General features: G+C 40.0%; 1 protein-coding gene across 30 annotated transcripts in view; it reads left to right on the top strand.

Moving 5' to 3' along the window:
• ITSN1 (intersectin 1) overlaps positions 1 to 22038 on the top strand; it is a 257361-nt gene that overhangs the window by 114887 nt on the left and 120436 nt on the right. For all 30 annotated transcript variants that reach the window (XM_017028428.2, NM_003024.3, XM_017028431.3 and 27 more), the window contains 6 exons: positions 4536 to 4599; positions 8488 to 8625; positions 10326 to 10441; positions 14674 to 14936; positions 17342 to 17491; positions 17581 to 17721. In XM_017028428.2, the coding sequence (XP_016883917.1) occupies positions 4536 to 4599; positions 8488 to 8625; positions 10326 to 10441; positions 14674 to 14936; positions 17342 to 17491; positions 17581 to 17721 (872 nt within the window). The remainder of the gene's footprint in view (positions 1 to 4535; positions 4600 to 8487; positions 8626 to 10325; positions 10442 to 14673; positions 14937 to 17341; positions 17492 to 17580; positions 17722 to 22038) is intronic.

The following is a 22038-nucleotide window of genomic DNA, read 5'->3' on the forward strand; positions in this document are numbered from 1 at the left end:
CAGATTTTGATATTGTTTATCTGCATACTTATTGCTACTTTGATCCAGCAAGAATTTAAGGTGGGAATTTTACTTTTGAGCCAGACCTTTGTATAGTCATGTCAAGTAGAATAATTTATTACAGTAAATTTTAAAATGGGAATAAACAATAGAAATTTAATTTTTTTTCCCTTTATGTACTTAGGAATCAATATGAAGTATGTTTTATACTAAATTAGAATGTTGATGGAAACAGCTGATTTGTTGAGGTGGATGGAACATAAAGGTCATTGTCTTGATCACAATTATAAAAATAATTTTATGAAGTCAGAATCCCCAAAGCAGTTCACTCAGCTGCAGGAGAAGCAAAATATCAAGAAAGTTGAGAAAAGGTTTCAGTATATAACATGGCCCAAAAGAAATATATAATTTATATTTGTAATCTCTTGTTTTTCATCCTTCTTGCTTTTGTTTTTTGTGGGTTTTTGTTTTCAGGAGCTAAAAAGCACTTCTTTTCTTTCTTTTTTTGAAACAGAGACTTGCTTTGTTACCCAGGCTGGAGTGCTGTGGTGCGATAGTAGCTCACTGCAGCCTTGAACTCCTGGGCTCAAGCAATCCTCTCACCTTAGCCTCCTGAGTAGCAGGGACTACAGGCGTGCATGCACCACCACACCTGGCTAATTTTTTTAAAAAAGTTTTCTTTAGAGGTGGGATCTTTGTTGTCCAGGCTGGTTTTGAACTCCTGACCTCAAGCAGTCCTACCACCTTGTCCTCCCAAAGTACTGGGATTACAGGCACCCAGGCTGAAGTACAGTGACATAATCATGGTTCACTGCTGCCTGGATTTCCCAGGCTCGGGGGATCCTCCCACCTCAGCCCCCAAGTAGCTGCGACTACAGGCATGTGCCACCATGCCCAGCTAATTTTTTGTAGAAACTGGGTTTTGCCATGTTCCCCAGGCTGGTCTCGAACTCCTGAGCTTAAGCGATCTGCTTACCTCTGCCTCCCAAAGTGGTGGGATTATAGGCGTGAGCCACCGCGTCTGGCCTTAATAGTGGCACTGTTTACCCCACTGACTATCTGGGTTGATTTAGCCGATACATCCTGTTGGACACCCTGTTCTTCCTTCATGGCTTGATGTGTAACTGTTGCATGCCCTTAAAAGAGACTGCCTTATAAAATAGAGAGGGATCATTCTTTAATTAAGGTTATGTAAGAAGCTCTAGAACTCTGGTATTCCTGTTAATAATGCTAGCCCTTCTTCTCAAAGAGGTATTTTATTGTTGCATTCTGAAACAATGAATATGCTATTTGGTAATTCATCTATTAATCAGAAAAGCTAAAGTCTTAGTCATTGTTTTAAATAAAGCTCATTTCATGTAGTTACTCTCTCCTTTCTAGCCATACTTCCCTGCCCAAACATGGATGCCAGAAGTGGGGTTTGTGTGCTTGGGATTTCTGGTTTTATTCCTATGTTCCCTTATAAGCCAGTACTCCAAAACCGATATCCCTTTATGTACCTAGGTTTCCACAGAAGAGTTCTGTGCACTCAAAGCTCAACTGTGTGTTGTCCAAATGTGCTAAGATGCTATCTTAGCTGTTGCTGATCTATTTTTAATATTTTGCAACATTGATTTAGGACATATGTAGACAAATAGTAGAATTACAAGAGATAATTGTGATCTTCTAGTGTGGGGATTGGCAAACATTTTCTGTAAAGAATAGCACAATAAATATTTTAGGCTCATAGGTCATATGTTCTCTGCTGCAACTACTCAACTTTGCCATCGTAGCATGACAACAACCATATATCATGCTTATATCAGTGGATATGGCTGTTTTAATAAAACTTTGCTTACCAAAACAGGCAGTGGGCCAGATCTGGCCTAAGGGCTATAATTTACCAATCCCTGTTGTAGATTATTTTCCTCATTTCACAGATGGAAGAACTTCATTTTAGAAAGTTAAAGTAGTTTTGTTAATGTCACATGCCATTAGGGAGTCAGGACTAGAATCCAAGTCCCCTGATATCCAGGTTTAGAGCTAGTTCTTCACATTTATTGTTAGGCTTTTTATGTGTAATAGATAAAATATTAACTTCCTTTTTTATAGTTCTGGAGTAAGGGCAATTGTTACAAGTGTAAATTAAATCACCCACTAAAGTTTTGTTAATTCTACTTTGTTACCAACATTCTAGATACAATGTTACAGACTAAAGAAAGTGATGCCTGAACTTTGCTCATTCCATTGTACCACAGTCCTTTAGAATCTTCACATGAATTCAGTAGATTGTTTTTTATTCTTAGATGCTCCCAAAACACACACGTGCTCATGTATGCACACACATCCAGCAGGAATGTGTTCATATATTCACCAAAAGTTAGAATGCTCACTATTAATAGTAGCCCTAATTGAAGACTAACTGAATGCCTATCAACAGTATAATGGACAGGCCGGGCACAGTGACTCATACCTGTAATCCCAGCACTTTGGGAGGCCAAGGCGGGTGGATCACGTGAGGTCAGGAGTTCGAGACCAGCTTGGCCAACATGGGGAAACCCTGTCTCTACTAAAAAAAATAGAAAAATTAGCCAGGTGTGGTGGCGCATGCCTGTAGTCCCAGCTATTCAGGAGGCTGAGGCAGAAGAATCATTGAACCCGGGTGGAGGAGGTTGCAGGGAGCCAAGATGGCGCCACTGCACTCCAGCCTGGGTGACAGAGCGAGACCGAGACTCCATCTCAAAAAAAAAAAAGAAAAGAAAAGAAAACAGTAGAATGGACAATGAATTAGGATGTAATGACACAATGATACACTCCATAGCAGTGAGGATTAATGTTCTACAACTCTACACGACAATATATTGAGCAAAATAAGCCAGGTGGAACAGCGGACAGGCTATTTGGTTAGAAGTTAGGCTACCTTGGTGGTAGCTGAGTCTAAAAGAGAGGCAAATAGGGGCATCTGGGGTGCGATTATACTCTCTTTCATGACCTCCATAGTGTTTGAGTATTTTCACTTTGGAAAATTAATTCAGCTGTGTACATGTGCACATGTATATATCCACATGTATCCGTATGTGTGCTTTTCTGTCAGGATTTTATATGTAAATAAAAGTTGAACTATTGTCAGTAATGTTACCTGCCATTAGAGCACCTCTCATGTGCTAATGTGATGCTAAGCTCATTGCCCCAATGGATCATAGACTGGTTTATCTGAAATGAGCAAACTAGGATCCAGACTACCTGGCCCAGTCACTCAGCAAAGTCTAGACTAAGCCAGGACTAGAGCCTACAGCTCCTTGGTTCCCTGACCTCTACTGCTGGCCATGCAAAAACACATCCAGTTTTGTGGTTTTTGATGAGGTGACGTTTGAATAAAGAAATAGCAAAAAGCAAAAACATATACACCAGAATCTTCCCAACAAAATTGCCACAGCCTTCCATTCCTCTGTCCAGCAGTCTTCCTGGGACCACATCTTGAGAGGCAGTGCTGGAAAGGAAGACGTATTTATTTCTCCCTCTCTGACTGTAGTTTATTTAAACTGAGTCTCCTACTGTGCGTTTGTCTGATGTCTAAGGCCACTTTCATACCAGAAGTGAAGATGTTTATGATTATTTTAAGAAATGAGAGCTTATTTTGAGAGAAGAGTAGAAATTCCAGGAATTCTTCTTTTTTTTTTTTTTCTTGGCTAACATAGGAAATGTGTTTTGTTTTGTTTTTTTAATTGAGACAGTGTCTCACTCTGTTGCCCAGGATGGAGTGCAGTGGCATAATCTTGGCTCACTGCAGCCTCCGCCTCTGGGGCTCAAGCGATCCTCCTACTTCAGCATCCCGAGTAACTGTGACCACAGGCTCATGCCACCATTCCCAGCTAATTTTTTGCACTTTTGGTGGAGATGGGGTTTTGCCATCTGGTCTTGAACTCCTGAGCTCGAGCCATCTGCCTGCCTCAGCCTCCCAGAATGCTGGGATTACAGGCACGAGTGACCACACCAGGCTGGAAATGTGTTTTAATCCTGGCTATTAGCGCTTCCTGCAACTTTTTTTTTTTTTCTTTTTAAGTCTGTTTAGTGAAACAGTTTCCCGGAGATCTCTCCGAGGTCCCTTCCTCCTCTAAGATTCTCCGAATCTTCCCTGAATTTGCCTGAGGTTGAGCAGGGTGGAGACAGCAGGTGGTAGCAGCGGCAAAAGATGTTAAACTTAAAGAGAATAACTTTCAAGTTTGTAAATAAAGCCCAATACAAATAAAGATGGTAATGTGGACAAAAGGTCAGGTTATATTTTGAAACTCTAAATCTTTCACATGGTCATTCTTTATCAAACATCCATTTAACAAAAATTTATTATGTGTCAGATGCTGTGCTCTGTGTTTCTCCTCTTTTTCATTGGGGCTTAATTTCCTTTTTACAAAGCCCCTGCGGTAGTAGCAAATGTTATTTAAAGCATTGTGATTGCATGAGGTCATGGAGTAGTCCACATACGCAGAACCCTGGTCCTCCTGTACAGTGAGTATTTGCTGACTCATCTGTATGTCCTTTTCCTGGTTCCTGTTTAGGTCCCCAAGCAAGAACTATTCTTATGCAGTCAAGTTTACCACAGGCTCAGCTGGCTTCAATATGGTAAGGAATGAAAAGTTCTTTGGTTTGGATAAAGTGGAAACTTGGTTAGATTGGTGTGGCCTCATGGGTTTTAGATTAATACCGTTTTTTATGGGGGAATATGTAGAATTTGCTTAATTTCAGTGAGTTGTAATGATTGCCTCTTTTATAATACTATTTCCCCTCTCAATTTTGAAAAATACAAAAGCAGATTAATACAATAAATTCTGAAGGAGTGATAATACAACTTAACAATTCTCAACTCGTGACCAGTCTTGGCTCTCCCTGTCTTTGATTTCTTTTTCTTTTTTTTTTTTTGAGATGGAGTTTTACTCTAGTTGCCCAGGCTGGAGTGCAGTGGTACGATCTCGGCTCACCGCAACCTCCACCTCCCGGGTTCAAGCGATTCTCCTGCCTCAGCCTCCTGAGTAGCTGGGATTATAGGCATGCACCACCATGCCCGGCTAATTTTGAATTTTTAGTAGGACAGGGTTTCTCCATGTTGGTCAGGCTGGTCTTGAACTCCCAACCTCAGATGATCCACCCGCCTCAGCCTCCCAAAGTGCTGGAATTACAGGCGTGAGCCACCATGCCCAGCCTCTTTGATTATTTTAAGCCAAATCTTAGTTATTATATAATTTCTACTGCAAATATTTTAGCTTTTATCTTCAAAAGAGAGGGATTTTCCTTTTTTTCATTCATTATTATTATTATTACTTTTGAGATGGAGTCTCACTCTTTCATCCAGATGGCAGTGGTGCCATCTTGGCTCACTGCAACCTCCACTTCCCAGGTTCAGCCTATTCTCCTGCCTCAGCCTCCTTAGTAGCTGGGACTGCAGGCATGAACCCCCACGCTTGGCTAATTTTTGTTTTTTTAGTAGAGACAGGGTGTTGCCATGTTGGCCAGGCTGGTCTCGAGCTCCTGACCTCAGGTGACCTGCCCACCTCAGCCTCCCAAAATGCTGAGATTCCGGGGGTGAGCACTGCGCCTGACCGACTTTCTTCTTAGCACAGTCATAACAGCAATAGCTCACCTAAGTTTTTCAGTAGTCATCCTTATCATTAAATTAATCAGGGAATGTTCACATTCCTTAGAGTGCCTCAGAATGTTTTTATAGTTCATTTGTTCAGCTCAGGACTGAAATAAGCCTGTATTTTGCAATACTTGAGTTTTCCATCTTTTATGTCTCCTTTAATCTATAAATTTCCCCTTGTCTTGTTCTCTGCTTCTTTTCCCAAGTCCCCCAGGCCGCCCCCCAACCAAAAAAAAAAAAAAAAAAAAAAAACTCCGTTAAAAACAAACCAGATCATTTGTCCTGTAGTTTCTTAATGGCTTAACTTTTGAAGAGTGCGTCACTGTGGGATTGTCTAATTTGTTTCTGTATTTCCTGTAAATTGATAATTAGATCTAGAGCAAAGTTTCCCAACCCCAGCACTATTGACATTTTGGGCCCGATAAATCTTTGTTGTTGGGGGATGTCCTGTATACTGTAGGATGTTCAGTAGCATCTGTGGCCACTACTCACTGGATGCTAGATGCCAGTAGCATGAGCTCCACACCCAGCATGACAATCAGAAATGTCTCCAGACTTTGATAGATGTGCCTTGGGGTACAAAATCTTCCCTGGTTGAGAATTGCGGATCAGATTTGATTTTTTTTTTTGTTTTGTTGTTTTGTTTTTGATAAGACTGTGCCAGAGAGGTCTCTGTGTACTCTCCTCAAAAGGCACATAATGTCTCTATTGTGTAATGATTTTGAATAGCTATCGATGAGCATTGCCTGGGTCCTACAGGCTTCCTTAAATTTAAATGTTAACTAGAATGGTTTCTTAAGAAGTGTGCATGTTATAGCTGTATGTTGGTGATTGTCCCTGGAAAATAAACTTTGTCTACAAGACTCACTGCAAAGTTCGTGATTTTCTTGCAGGCCACATTGATAGGGTTGTTTCACAAATGATCAAGCTCTAATGCAGCTTCCTTTGCCCTTCTCTTCCCTTCTGTTTTGTATGAAAGAGCTTGCCTTTGGCAGTAGACCAGACCAGTTAATAAACATCTTATATCTTTGACACACCCAGAACTCTTTAAATCAGGGTATTGAACAGTATCCTAGGGCCCCCTGAAATATAAACTTAAGATCTAACATTAATGGAGGTTGGTTGACAATTTATTAGGTTGTTCTCATGATACCAGATTATATTGAAATATTTATTTTAAATTTCTCATTTATAACTTATCCTATTTGAGAAAAACGCTTGAGGCTTCTTCTGTTAGAATGTTATATTCTGGTGCTACACACTAAAAAAGATATTTTAATTAAATGCTTATAATCATAATTTAGGTAAGTGTGGTGAAAAAACAAGAATTTCAGCCACCTTCTAACTGGTTTACCTAGGACTGGCTAATTGTGAGACACAAAAAGGAACAGAATAAGGAAGAGCGGGCAGGGGTTTCATTTTATTTCATTTGCATTTCTTTTTAAAACTGGGTATCTTGCATATGGGTATCTTGCAAAACTAGAGGAACAGAAAAAAGATCAGCAGTTGCCAGGGGATGGGGGCAAAGGAGGGAGTTGCTACAATCAGATGTGGAATTTTAGGTAGAGCTGACACTATTCTGTATGTTGTGGTTCATGTTTGTCAAAACTCTCAGACCTATACTCTAGAAGGTGTGCATTCTACTTTATGGAAATTATAACAAAAAAAGTTTATAGCACCTAAGGAAATTTCAGAATTAAGAAGGTTTCTTAATTTTTGGCATTGGCAAAACCAGTTTCCCATTGCATTTGTCCTGTTGACATTCTAGTGAATGGATGTGTTGTCATGTATCTTCTTTTGATGGTCCAGAAATTGTTTAGTAAAATCACATTCTTGGACTTGCCAGGAGAATGTTTGCTGTAATTAGCTACTTGGGCAAGTTCATTATGAAGAATGATGGAGATTGAATCCTGAGATTGAGGAAGAGGAAACACTTAGACTCTGTGGCTGGAGTTCATAAAGATCCACTGTGTAGGCCTAGATTAAGGGGTGGCCAGCTCTGCCCAGTGGGCCGAATCTGGCCTGCATCTGTTTTTGTGAAGAAAGTTTTTATCGTACAAATAGCCATGCCCATTCATTTATATGTTGTCTATGGCTACTTTCTGCCAAAATGACAGAATTCAGTATGATAAGGATTGTATGTCTTATAAACTGTAAAATATTTACTACCTGACCCTTTACTGATAGTTTGTCATTTCCTGGTCTAGAGCAGAACATTTAACAATATAGAGCTGGGTATGGTGGCTTATGCCTATAATCCCAGCGATTTGATAGGCTCACTTGAGGCCAGGACAGATCAGCCTGGGCAACACAGTGAGACCCCCATCTCTACAAAATATTTTAAAAATTAGCTAGGCATGGTGGCGCACACCTTGTAATCTCACGTTTGGGAGGCTGAGGCAGGAGGATCATTTAAGCCCGGAAAGGCTGTGGTGAACTATGATCTTGACTGCAGTGAGGCTGCAGTGAACTGTGATCATGACTGCAGTGAGTCTGCAGTGAGCTGTGATCATGACTGCAGTGAGGCTGCAGTGAACTGTGATCATGTCATTGCACATCAGCCTGGGTAACAGTGAGAGCTCATCTGTTAAAAAAGATTCATGGAATATGAGTGTATTATATGTTAAATATGCAAAGGTTGGGGAAGAGTATCATTATAATCATAGCATTTGTTGAATGAGGAACACTGTCCCAACTACCTGTAATTTTATCTTTGCAGCAGTATAAAATAGGTACTATTTTGACAAAATGAGGGACAAAGAGACTCAGTTGGCCTGTGGTCAATAAGAAAACATAACTTTTAAATCACTAATGAATAGTAAAAAGCATGAATTTTCATGAAACCGGATTACAGTTAACTTTTTGTTGAATAGGAATCTTTCTGACATTGATCAAGATGGAAAACTTACAGCAGAGGAATTTATCCTGGCAATGCACCTCATTGATGTAGCTATGTCTGGCCAACCACTGCCACCTGTCCTGCCTCCAGAATACATTCCACCTTCTTTTAGGTAAGGAACATGGGCTCTGATCAGGAATTGTATGCGGAGTATATGAATTCCAAACTTGGCTTTATTGACTATGTGTCTTACCTGATTTTCATCCCTGACAAGGAAACTAAGTATCCGTGAATTCTAGAGACTCTCATCTAGGTCTATGTTAATCTTGGGCCCATTTTGTTCTTCAAAGTACTTGAAGTATATTAGTGAAACAATGAAGTAAAACATCAATAGATTGTTGATTTTCTACCAACCTATGTCATCAATGCTTACCAGAAATTTTCACAACAGATGCCAGCAGCAAGAGAGAAACTGCATGAGCCTATGCATAGAGAAGAAACCAAGGAGATCACACTTGTGAATTCCACACATTTCAGTGGTAACAAAAGCTGCTAGCAATGTAGAAATTATAATCAGGAAGACAAAGAAAATTACCCTGGACTGAAAGACAGTCTCAGTAAAGATGTCAAGAGAGTCACCTGAGGTCCAGTATTGTGACTGGCATCCTCATTTACATCCATGCATGCATGCACACGCTGTCCAGGACAGCTCTGTCTCCTGGCTTTGAACATAAAAACTGAATATGAGATCTTACAAGTACAAAGGAGAATGAAAGAAAGATTAAGATTTCTGACCTGAGTCCTCAAACTGCAGGAAGGACTGGGGCAAAATCCCCTTTAAATGAAGAGAAATAGAGCCATTACTGTCAGCACACACGTGGTACAGGAGCAAGCTGAGGAAACTGTGACTATGTAGGAAGCAACAGATAGCTGAGGCACTTTGCCTGTGAAATCCCACAACTGCAACATTGGAAGCTGATAATGAATGCGTAAAAAGGATTGGGAGACGGTTTAAACACAGCAAAGTTAAAAGTGTAAAGTGGGGAGGGTGGTGCGGTGGCTCACGCCTGTAATCCCAGCACGTTGGGAGGCCGAGGCGGGTGGATCACTTGAGGTCAGGAGTTTGAGATCAGCCTGGCCAACATGGTGAAACCCCGTCTCTACTAAAAATACAAAAATTAGCCAGGCGTGGTGGCAGGTGCCTGTAATCCCAGCTACTCGGGAGGCTGAGGCAGGAGAATCGCTTGAGCCCAGGAGGCGGAGGTTGCAGTGAGCCAAGATTGCACCATTGCACTCCAGCCTGGGGGACAAGAGTGAGACTTTGTCTCAAAAAATAAAATAAAATAAAATGACATAAATAAATAAATAAATAAAAGTGTAAAGTGGAAGAAATTAGTAAACAAAGTGATTTGTTTTACGAACTATATAGACATTGCATGTGTTTCTTAGGGGGTGAAATGGAGAGATGGGAAAGGGAAGAGAGATGCTCCTAGTGAGCTGAGCTGCTGATCTTCCCTTGGAGGAATTTAAGGTTACTTGAGAGGGCAATGGAAATAGCAGCTCCCACTTAGTGCTCACCATGTCCCAGGCATTGTTCTTACCACTTTTTGATTATTAACTACTTTCATCCTTTGGAATTGTTTCAATTTTGGTGGTGATTCTTAAGCTTGGCACTCAGAGTCTGATGACATTCCAATATTCATTAAAAAACTCTTTGTAAATAGAGAAGACCAAATCTTTATATTTTCCTTACTGTAAATGAAATTTGCTCCATGGCATGGTAAAATCTTTAAAAATCCTTCTTCATAACTTGTCCAACTCCACCCAGACAGCTCTGTGTGAATCTATTTTTCTTTTTCCCCGCAATTGCAGAAGAGTTCGATCTGGCAGTGGTATATCTGTCATAAGCTCAACATCTGTAGATCAGAGGCTACCAGAGGAACCAGTTTTAGAAGATGAACAACAACAATTAGAAAAGAAATTACCTGGTAAGGCAGCCTTTATGTTGAGTTAAATCATTTAGATTAAACGAAATTAGAGATTTCCTATCTCTAAGACAAAGATAGAGGTAAACATAAATTTAGTTTTTGACATTTTTGCCTTGTAACTTAACTGACCTTAGTTGGAGATAATTGTTAATTAAGCTTGTGGATTTGGGTCTGGATAGAGAAATAAGAACATTATGCACTCTGCTAATGCACCGTTGTTCTAACTTGTAACTTGAAATCTGATTATAAACTGCTAAACAAAAATTATGTAAATGTTATCCATAGAATATACAGCACTAAAAACTGATGAGTATTAAGGTGATTGCTTAATACCACCAGTGCAGAAATAGAAAATCAAATCATCTACTGTTGTTTTCTCATGTTGTTATAAGAGAATTGGAAACTCCTTAATTGCAGGAACCTATTTTAAATTTAATGTGAACCTATTTTATTTTATTTATTTTGTTTTTTGAGATGGAGTCTCACTCTGTTACCCAGGCAGGAGTGGAGTGGCGCAATCTAGGCTCACTGCAACCTCCGCCTCCCAGGTTCAAGTGATTCTCCTGCCTCAGCCTCTGGAGTAGTTGGGACTACAGGCACATGCACCACGCCCGGCTAATTTTTGTATTTTTAGTAGAGATGGGGTTTCACCATGTTGGCCAGGCTGATCTCAAACTCCTGACCTCAAGTGATCCACCTACCTCAGCCTCCCAAAGTGCTGGGATTATAGGCGTGAGTCACTGTGCCCAGCTGAACCTATTTTAAATAATACTCATTTACAATGATAAATCCATCATACTATTAAAATATTCTAAGGTGGCTATGAATTATTAATGATGAGATGATAATGATACTAAGAAGCAAATGAAATTATGGAGTCTTTTATGATAAATACTTTGTCAGTGTCATTTTGCTGCATTTAAGATGCTCAGCAGTTAATTGGTCTGGTCAGAACACTGGCTGTCCCAGTTTATTGTCTAAACTAAATTACCTTTTGTTCACTGATGAAATACTATTGGAAATATTTTACGTGCAAGCCTGCATGTTGAGCAAAGAATCTAAATGTTAATACATGGTTCATACTTTCTAGAACCTTTAAAATATATTAGAGGATTTAAGACATCCATATAAGCAATCACTTCAGCAGTATGTGAGTGGGATAAATTCCTGGAGAGTATTATAGATGCACAACAGACCTCACTTATGGTTGGTTGGTGTAGACTGGGGAAGATATGAGGAATTAAATGTCTGTGGAAGAGGTCACAGTTGAGTTGAGAGTTGAAGATGAATAGGGTCACCACAAGTGGAAGTGAGAATAGTTCAGGTTTTGATAACAATGAGAATGAAATTTCAATGGCAGATAAGGACAGGAATGCTTGGAATGCAGAATTTTCTTTTTCTGTTTTTAGTAGACATTCATTTAAAATTTTGAACAGGAAGCAACATTATCAGAGATTTCATTTGTGCATTCATTCCTTCAACAGCCGTTTATTATATGCCTCCTACATACTAGGAATATTGCCAGATGCTGGAATTAAAAAGATGTATAGAGACTTGGAGAGTTTTTTAAATTGAGATGAGATTCACATAATACAAAATGTACAGTTCAGAGGCTGTCTTAGTCTGCTTGGACTACCATAACAAAATAGCATAGACCGGGCAGCTTGAACAGTGGGAATTTTATCTCTCACCGTTCTGGAGGCTGGAAGTCCAAGATCACGGTGTGCAGATTTGGTTCCCAGTGAGGGCCCTCTTCGTAGCATGCAGACAGCAGCCTTCAGTTTTTTTGCTCACATGGGATTTCCTTGGTTTGTGCATGCAGAGGGAGACAGATCTCTCCTCTCTCTGTTTTCTCTATCTCTGTCTCTGCCTTTTTTTTTTTTGAGACGGTTGTTTCGCTCTTGTTGCCCAGGCTGGAGTGCAATGGCGTAATCTCGGCTCACTGCAGCCTCCGCCTCCTGGGTTCTAGCGATTCTCCTGCCTCAACCTCCCAAGTAGCTGGGACTAAAGGCATGTGCCACCACACCCAGCTAATTTTGTATTTTTAGTAGAGACGGAGGTTTCACCATGTTGGTCAGGCTGGTCTTGAACTTTTGACTTTAGGTGATCCACCCACCTTGGCCTCCCAAAAAGTGTTGGGATTACAGGTGTGAGCCACTGCGCTCGGCAGTCCCTGTCTTTTTATAAGGATATTAATTTATCATAAGGGCCCCACTCTCAACGGCTAATTTTTTTTGTTTTATTTTGTTTTTGAGATGGAGTTTTGCTCTTGTTGCCCAGGCTGGAGTGCAGTGGCGCGATCTTGGCTCACCACAACCTCCGCCTCCCGGGTTCAAGCGATTCTTCTGCCTCAGCCTCCCGAGTAGCTGGGACTACAGGCATGTGCCATAATACCCAGGTAATTTTTTATTTTTAGTAGAGATAGGGTTTCTCCATGTTGGTCAGGCTGGTCTTGAACTCCTGACCTCTGGTGATCTGCCTGCCTCGGCCTCCCAAAGTGCTGGGATTACAGGCGTGAGCCACCGTGCCTGGCCAGCTAATCTAATCTTAACCTTCCAGAGGCTCCATCTCCAAATATCACATTAGGGTAATTAGGGCTTAAACATATGGATTTTGGTGAGGCGACACAAACATTCAGTTCCTAACAATGACATTTAGTGCATTCACAGTGCCTTGCAGCCACAACCTCTCTTGTCCCAAGATACTTTCCTCACCTCACAACAAAACTCCATATCCATCACTCCCTCCAGCCCCTGGCAACCACCAATCTGCTTTCTGATTCTTGGGATTTACCTGTTGTGGATATTTCATATAAATGGAATCATATATGACTGTTTATGACTGACATCTTTCACTTGGCACAATATTTTTGAGATTCATCCACCTTGCAGCATGTATCATTACATCATCCCTTTCTGTGGGAGGGGGACTTTGAATTTTTTTTTTTTTTTTTTTGAGACAGAGTCTGCTCGTCACCCAGGCTGGAGTGCAGTGGCGCAATCTTGTCTCACTGCAACCTCTGCCTCTCAGCTTTAAGCGATTCTCCTGTCTCAGCCTCCCAAGTAGCTGGGGTTAAAGGTGCCTGCCACCACACCTGGCTAATTTTTTTGTATTTTTAGTAGAGACTGGGTTTCACCATGTTGGCCAGGCTGGTATGGAACTCCTGACCTCAAGTGATCTGCCCACCTCAGCCTCCCAAAGTGCTGGGATTACAGGTGTGAGCCACTGCACCCAGCCAGGACTTTGAATTTTAAGATATCAGAGTAGAGGATACCATCTCCTCTGAAATCACCAAAGGTGAGCAAGAAAACCAAAACATACTTGCCCGCTTTCATCTCTAATCGCTGACTACAGTACGTGAAGGAAGTCTGTCTAAAGCAGTGAAGTCCAAACAGGAATGTGGGAAGAAGCCAAAGATGGATGCTCACAGCTGCAGATCTCAAGGCAGAGTGAGAAGCAATGGTTCTTAGATGTGGACCAGGGACTGGCATGCTGCACAGGGTGGCAATGAGTGCTCCCCTGGCCGGCGTTGGTACCAAGGAGGATTGCGTGAGGCCAACACAGAAATGAAATAGACACTGCTGAGGACAGTAAGGGACAAGGATGATGGGATTGTAGAAAATGAAGAAATAAAATGGACATAAAGTATTAGAAAAAAAAGGATAGAACTGAGTAATCATTCTAAATTTATAATTGATGTGTTAAAGAAGGAAACTGAATAATGGGTTAGAAAAAATTGTTGACTGACTGTGATCTCCATAGGGATCAGGGCACAGCTTGTTCTTCAGTGTGAAAAGCCGAATGCTCACCTTTCACTCTGCTTTGAGAAATCTTGTTAGAATAGAGGACTCATCAGCACGGTTACAAGGCAAAGGGAAGGAGGGAGAGAGACAGAGACTCATGGTCCAGAAGAGAGGGGGTTAATTCCTAGGGCAAGCTCATGGGAAGAAGGGAAAGGATGGAGTAACAGGGAAGGAAAGGAGTCTGGATGGTGATGTAGAACTGCTAGATAAGGATCTTTTAGAAACAGTGTTTGGCGTGGAGGAGAAGATATAAACAGAGAGGTTAGGCAAAGGGGGTTTTCGTTGTGCTCATTAACAAGGACACAGAAGCTTAGGGAGTTCTGGGTTTGGGTTTGTACTACAAATTTCAAATACATTGGTGAGTTTTCCTTTGAAAAGAGTCCGTTGAAAATCTTGAGTTTTCATAGTTGCTGTGTTCCTTGTCTGAAGTAACGTTTGAAGATAAGAAGCGGGAGAACTTTGAACGTGGCAACCTGGAACTGGAGAAACGAAGGCAAGCTCTCCTGGAACAGCAGCGCAAGGAGCAGGAGCGCCTGGCCCAGCTGGAGCGGGCGGAGCAGGAGAGGAAGGAGCGTGAGCGCCAGGAGCAAGAGCGCAAAAGACAACTGGAACTGGAGAAGCAACTGGAAAAGCAGCGGGAGCTAGAACGGCAGAGAGAGGAGGAGAGGAGGAAAGAAATTGAGAGGCGAGAGGTAAGCAGGCGAGAGTGGAGCCACCCGGAGTTAGTGTGCGATCACCCCTTTTCAGAATTATCCAAGTGATCTATTCACGCCATCTTTGTCTTTTTACAATTCAGTAGTTTTAGTATATTCCCAAAGTTGTGCAACCATCGTCCCTAATTCCAGAACATTTTCATCACTCCAGCTCTTTACCCATTAAGCAGCTACTCCCCATTTCTTTCTCCCTCCAGCTCCTATCATTAATTTTACTTTCTATCTTTCTAGATTTACTTATTCAGGACATTTTTTATAAATGGAATCATCAATATATGGACTTTTGTTTCTGGCTTTCATTTAGCATAATGTTTTCAAGGTTCATCCACATTGTAAAATGAATCAGTCCTTTATTCCTGTTTATGGCTGAGTAATATTTCGTTATATGGGTATACCACATTTTTTAATTCATTCAGCAGTTGATGGTCATTGTGGCTATTATAAACAATGATGTTATGAACATTAATGTACAAGTTTTTGATGATACAATTTTGTAACAAACCACTGATACCAGTAAAGTGTTTTTCCAGACTGTTTTCTCTGTATACACCTATATAAAAATATAAAGGTTTATATGGCGGAGAGTGTAAGGGCTGTATAATTTTTTAAAAACCACTGTAATAGTATCATACCAATTACATTGTTCTGCAATCTTCTTTTTTTTTTTTTTTTTTGTTTGAGACAGAGTCTCGCTCTGTCACTTCCAGGCTGGAATGCAGTGGCATGATCTCAGCTCACTGCAACCTCTGCCTCCTGGGTTCAAGCGATTCTCCTGCCTCAGTCTCCTGAGTAGCTGGGATTACAGGTGCCCGCCACCACGCCCAGCTAATATTTTGTATTTTTAGTAGAGATGAGGTTTCACCATGTTGGTCAGGCTGATCTCGAGCTCCTGACCTCGGGTGATCCACCCGCCTCAGCCTCCCAAAGTGCTGGGATTACAGGCATGAGCCACCGCGCCTGGCCCATGCAACCTTCTTTTTAAACTCTTTTAAAAATATGTCTGGGACATCCTCCCTATATTCTATGGAAGGCTTCGTAAATTTAGCGCCATACCTGGAAAGGGGCTAAGCAAATCTTGTCTCTCTTTCCAATTTTAGTACATTACTGCAGAAGCAACACATGGTTCTTTCATGTGAATGAAAGATAAAAATGAGGAATTTTTCGATGTAAAAAAATAGCCTGAGTGCTGTGCCTCAAGCCTGTAATCCCAGCACTTTGGGAGGCTAAGGAGGGATGATCACTTGAGGCCAGTAGTTGGAGGCCACTGCATTCCAGCCTAGGTGACAGAGCAAGAACCTGTCTCAAAAAAAGAAAGAAACAAAACTTATAGCCATAACTCCTTTTTTTTTTTTTGAGACAGACTCTCGCTCTGTTGCCCAGGCTGGAGTGCAGTGGCACGATCTCAGTTCACTGCAGCCTTCACCTCCTGGGTTCAAGTGATTCACCTGCCTCAGCCTCCGGAGTAGCTGGGATTACAGGCGTGAGCCACCATGCCTGGCTGATTTTTGTATTTTTAGTAGAGACAGGGTTTCGCCATGTTGCCCAGGCTGGTCTCGAACTCCTGACCTCAGGTGATCCGCCTGCCTCGGCCTACCAAAGTGCTAGGATTACAAGCGTGAGCCACTGCGCCCGGCCCCGTAACTCCTTTTTGTTCAGACAGACACTAACAAAATTTTAATTTTCAGAATGAACAAAGATAGGCAAACTTTTCTTCAACGTACCAAAAAAATGATATTCTAGAGTATTTATTCAGAATTATTTAATAGACATTTACCATGTATCAGGTGTAGTTGGATGACCCATGAGTCAGAGGCAATTCCCATAGACTGTCAGATGCTCTGATATGTACTCTATCTAGCAGTCGTCAGAGCCAGTCGTTGGAGGGAGCAAAAGCTTTTGTGGTAAAAAGGAAATGAATGATTAGGAAGTGGGGAGTCGCAGACTTTTAAAACGAGTTAAGTAATAATTTCTCTTTTGGTGGAGTAAAATCAACTCTTGTTTGTTTTTGTTCAGGGGTGTTTTAGTTTGATTTTACTACATAAATTTTCCTTCTTGGCGTGTCAGTAAATAAGAAGGAGCATTTTTAGTTAGCACATCAAGCATTCTTGAAGGCATAAAGAATGGAATTCTAATGGGGAAATAATCCTGTCATCTTACGTAAATATAGTATTATGTAAATATAATACCCAGTTCTGTGTATTCCCTTTATTCCCATAGAAGGAATACTGTATTTTTATGTAATTTTTTGTTTTCTAATGTGATTTCTTGTAATGTTTAATATTTCATCCCTAAAAGGAAAGACTTCCTAGATGCCATTTTTGTGAAAAGACATTGTGTAGTGTAAGAACTGAAAAATTAGTAATTTGTCTCTGTAAATGTCACAGGCTGCAAAACGGGAACTTGAAAGGCAACGACAACTTGAGTGGGAACGGAATCGAAGGCAAGAACTACTAAATCAAAGAAACAAAGAACAAGAGGACATAGTTGTACTGAAAGCAAAGAAAAAGACTTTGGAATTTGAATTAGAAGCTCTAGTGAGTGAAGTTTGGTTATACTTTGAAAATATACTAAGATGGAACCATTAAAAACAGTAATAATTTTTATTATCTTTCATTTGTTCAAGAATGATAAAAAGCATCAACTAGAAGGGAAACTTCAAGATATCAGATGTCGATTGACCACCCAAAGGCAAGAAATTGAGAGCACAAACAAATCTAGAGAGTTGAGAATTGCCGAAATCACCCATCTACAGCAACAATTACAGGTGAGGAAATATGCCTCTTAAAAGCTATTATATTAAACTGGCATCCTTTTCTCTAATTCATTTCATTTACTTACTTATTCAGTAAACATTAAGCAACTGTCTTGTACTAGGCACTGGGAAGCAAAAATGAAGTAGACAGGGTCCTTGTGTGAAAAGTAGCCTGTCAAGGAGACAAACTCAGCAAATATTTACTGAGCACTGCTTCGGGCCAGGTGCTTTTGCAGTTTCTGAGGCTACAGCAGGGACAGACACTCTGTCTTCTGGGAGCTTACCCTCTGTTTGCAGGAGGAACAGAGACTAACAAAATAAAGTGTGTACTGTATTAGAAGATGAAAAGTGCTATGGAGAGTGAGTAGGGAAGGGAATAGAGAGTCCTAGGGATAGGAAATGTTGTGATTTTAACTAAGGTAGCCAAGACAGGTCTTTCTGGATGGTGACATTTGAGCAGAGACTTGAAATTAATGACAGGCTAAGCCATGTGGGTATCTGGCAGAGCAAGATCTAGGCAGGGAAATAGTGCCAAAGTCCTGAGGTCGTAGCAGGACTCTGAGATGCCAGTTACAGCAAGGAGACTACTGGGTAGAGCAGGTGGGAGCTGGATCACACAGAACCTGTAGTCCACCAACAGGACTTTGGCTTTACTGTGGTAATTACAATAAATAAGTACACTTAAGTATTTTAGGGGGTCATATGAGAGCTATATGTATACTAAATAGTTGGAGACATACAGAGCACTTTTAGTAGTTCTGTCTTCATTTTAAAGCCTATCCAAAGTTGTTATAATATCACCTGGTTTGGTATCAAGTGCTGAACTACAGGGGCATCAAATTCATGTAAATATTGCCTGTGGATGATCATATTTGCCTGTGATTCCTTTATGTTAGGCTTTTTCTCAGCATGATGTTTTTGAGATGTGTCCATGTTACTGAGTGAATGACTCTTTTGTTTCTTTTCATCACTGAGTAGTGTTTCCTTATGTGTCCATTCACCTACTGGTTGATATTCAGGTTCTTTCCAGTGTGGAACTTTTATGAATAAAACTGCAGTGAGCATTTATGTACAAGTCTTTATGTGGAAATGGTTTATTTCTCTTGGGTAAACTTTTAGGAATGGAACTACTGTGTCATGTAAGTGTATATTTAACCCCATAAGAAACTGTCAGGCTGGGCACAGTGGGTCACACCTGTAAACCCAATACTTTGAGAGGGCAAGGTAAGAGGATTGCTTGAGCTCAGGAGTTTGAGACCAGCCTGGGAAACATAGCAAGACCCCATCTCTAAAAAAAAAAAAAAAAAACTTAAAAATTAGCTGGCATGGGGGCGTTCACCTGTAGTACCTGCCTGAGGCAGGAAGACCACTTGAGCCCACGATATCGAGGCTGCAGTGAGCTATGATTGAGCCACTGACTGCCTGGGCCACAGAATGAGACCCTGTTCAAAAAAAAAAAAAAAAAGAGAGAGAAAAGAGAAAGGAAAGAAAGAGAACTGACAAACTGCAAAGAGTTTGTACCATTTTACATTCTGATCATTTAATTTGTATTTCCCTGAAGGCTAATGATGTTGGGAATCATCTTACATGTTTATTGGCGAGTATTTTTTACTGTGCATCTTCGTTGAAGTGTCTGAACAAATCTTTTGCCCATTTTTTATTGGGCTGTTTGTCTTACTATTTACTTGTAAAAGTTCTTTTTATATTCTTAACAAGTCCTTTGTCAGATACGTGTTTTGCAAATATTTTCTCCCAATCTGGCTTGGGTTTAATTTTTGTTAGTGGTATTTTTTAAAGGGCAGAAGTTTTAAATTTTGATGAAGTTCAGTTTACCGTTTTTTTTCTTTTGGTGTTCATGCTTTTTATGTTCTATCTGAGAAATCTTTGACTACCCCATGACTGCAAATATTTTATTTTCTTCTAGAAGTTTTTGGGGCTTAAAAAAATAATTTTTACAAGTTTTTATAAATTGAAAAAAACTTAAAATTTTAAGTTTCATAGTTGTATCTTATATGTTTAGGTCTATGAGCTATTTCAAGTTGATTTTTGCAGATAGTATAAGGTAAAGGTTGAGGTTTATATTTTTACATACTGATACACAGTTGTTATAGCACCATTTATTAAAAACACTGGCTTTTTTCCCATTGAGTTACCTTGGTAGCTTGTTGAAAATCAGTTGAACATATTTGTAATGGTCTATTCTGGACTCTATTCTGTTCTTTTGATCTGTCTGTCCTTTACCAGTACCTCACCCTGTTGATACCTAATTTTTGAAGTCAAGTGATACGAATTCTCTGTTATTGTTCTTTTTAGAATTGTTTTTGGTTATTCCAGGTCCTTAACATTTCCATGTACATTTTAGAATCAGCTTATCAGTTTTTACAAAAATGCTTGGAATTTTGTTGGAATTCCATTGAATTTATAAATCAATTTGGGAAGATTTGACATCTCAGCAATAGTAAATCTATGGCATAAATCTCTATTTTGGTAGTTATAAATTTCTCTCAGCAATGTTTTGTAGTTTGCAGTGTCCAAGTCTTGTAGATACTTTGTAAAGTTTATCCCTAAGTATTTTGTGGCTTTTGATGCTATTGTATATTGCATATTTTTATTTTAGTTTCCAGTTGTTTGGTGCCAGTATATGGAAATAGAATTTATTTTTGTATATTGACCTTATATCTGTGATTGCTTAACTAACTTCCTTTGTGTGTCTTACTTTGTTGACCAGAACCTCCCATACTATATTGGATAGAAGTGGGAAGAGCCTTGTTCCCTCTCGATGAAGGAAAGCTCTCTCACCATAGAGTATAGTGTTAACCAGGGTTCTTGTAAACACCTTTTATCAGGTTGATGGACTTCTCCTTTTGCTGAGGGTTTTTATGATGAATGGGTGTTGAAATAGATCATATGTTTTTTCCCCGCATCTATTGAGATAAGTATGTGTTTTTTCTTTCTTATTTTGTTAATATGATGAAGTACATGGTTGCCATTTGAATGTTAAATCAGCCTTCCATTCTTGGGATAAACCACTCTTGGTCATGGTATATTACCCTTTATTAAAATATTTCACTACATTCCATTTCCCATTATTTTATTAAGGATCTTTTTAAATCTGTTGAATTCAATTCAACAGAGATATTGGTTTTTAGTGTTCTTCTAATATTCTTGTCTAGTTTTGATATCAGGGTAATGCTGGCCTCAGAAAATGAGTTGGAAAATATTCCTTCCTCCTCTATTTTCTAAAAGTGTTTGTGTTGAAATAGCATTTCTTCTTTAAATTTTGGTGGCATTCACCAGTGAAGGCCTCTGGGCCTGGAGCTTTCTTGAAGACTTAATTATAAAATTCATTATGCAGATATAGGGCTATTCTGATTTTCTTCTTCTCCTTGAATCTGTTTTGATTATCTGTCAATGAACTTGTTTATATTATCTAAATTATTAAATTTACTTGTATAAAGTTGTTTATAATATTCTCTTTTTTTTTTTTTTTTTTTTTTTTTGAGACGGAGTCTCGCTCTGTCGCCCAGGCTGGAGTGCAGTGGCGCAATCTCGGCTCACTGCAAGCTCCGCCTCCCGGGTTCACGCCATTCTCCTGCCTCAGCCTCCCAAGTAGCTGGGACTACAGGCGCCCGCCACTACGCCCGGCTAATTTTTTGTATTTTTAGTAGAGACGGGGTTTCACCGTTTTAGCCGGGATGGTCTCGATCTCCTGACCTCGTGATCCGCCCGCCTCGGCCTCCCAAAGTGCTGGGATTACAGGCGTGAGCCACCGCGCCCGGCCTATAATATTCTCTTATTGTATGTAAGTCTGTAGTATCTGTAGTGATGTCTCTTCTTTCTTTACTGATATTGGTAATTTGTGTCCTCTCACTCTGTCTCCGTGCTTCCTTCTCCTTTTCCTTCCTAACCCCTTCTTCTCTCCTTTCTCCTACTCTATCTCTCCTCCTTCTTCTTTTCTTGATCAGTCTATCTGGAGTTTGTTTATTTTTAAAAAATAAGTTCTTGGCTCTATTGATTTTTTTTTTTTTAGTAAGCCCTTGGCTTTATTGATTTTCTCTGTGGTATGTCTGTTTTCTGCTTTATTTTTGTTCTTTTTCTCTTGTTTCTTCCATTTACTTATTTGGGGTTTAATTTTCTTTTCTCAAGCTTCATAAGGAGGAAGTTTAGATAATTGATTTTGGACCTTTCATCATTTTTGATACAAACATTTTAAGCTTTAAATGTCCATCTAAACACTGACATTGCCATATCCCACAAATTTTTAATATGTTGCATTTTCATATTTATTCAATTCAAAATCTTTTTTAAATTTTCTTTGTAATTTCTTCT

Source organism: Homo sapiens, chromosome 21 (genome assembly GCF_000001405.40).
Source record: "Homo sapiens chromosome 21, GRCh38.p14 Primary Assembly".
NCBI lineage: Eukaryota > Metazoa > Chordata > Mammalia > Primates > Hominidae > Homo > Homo sapiens.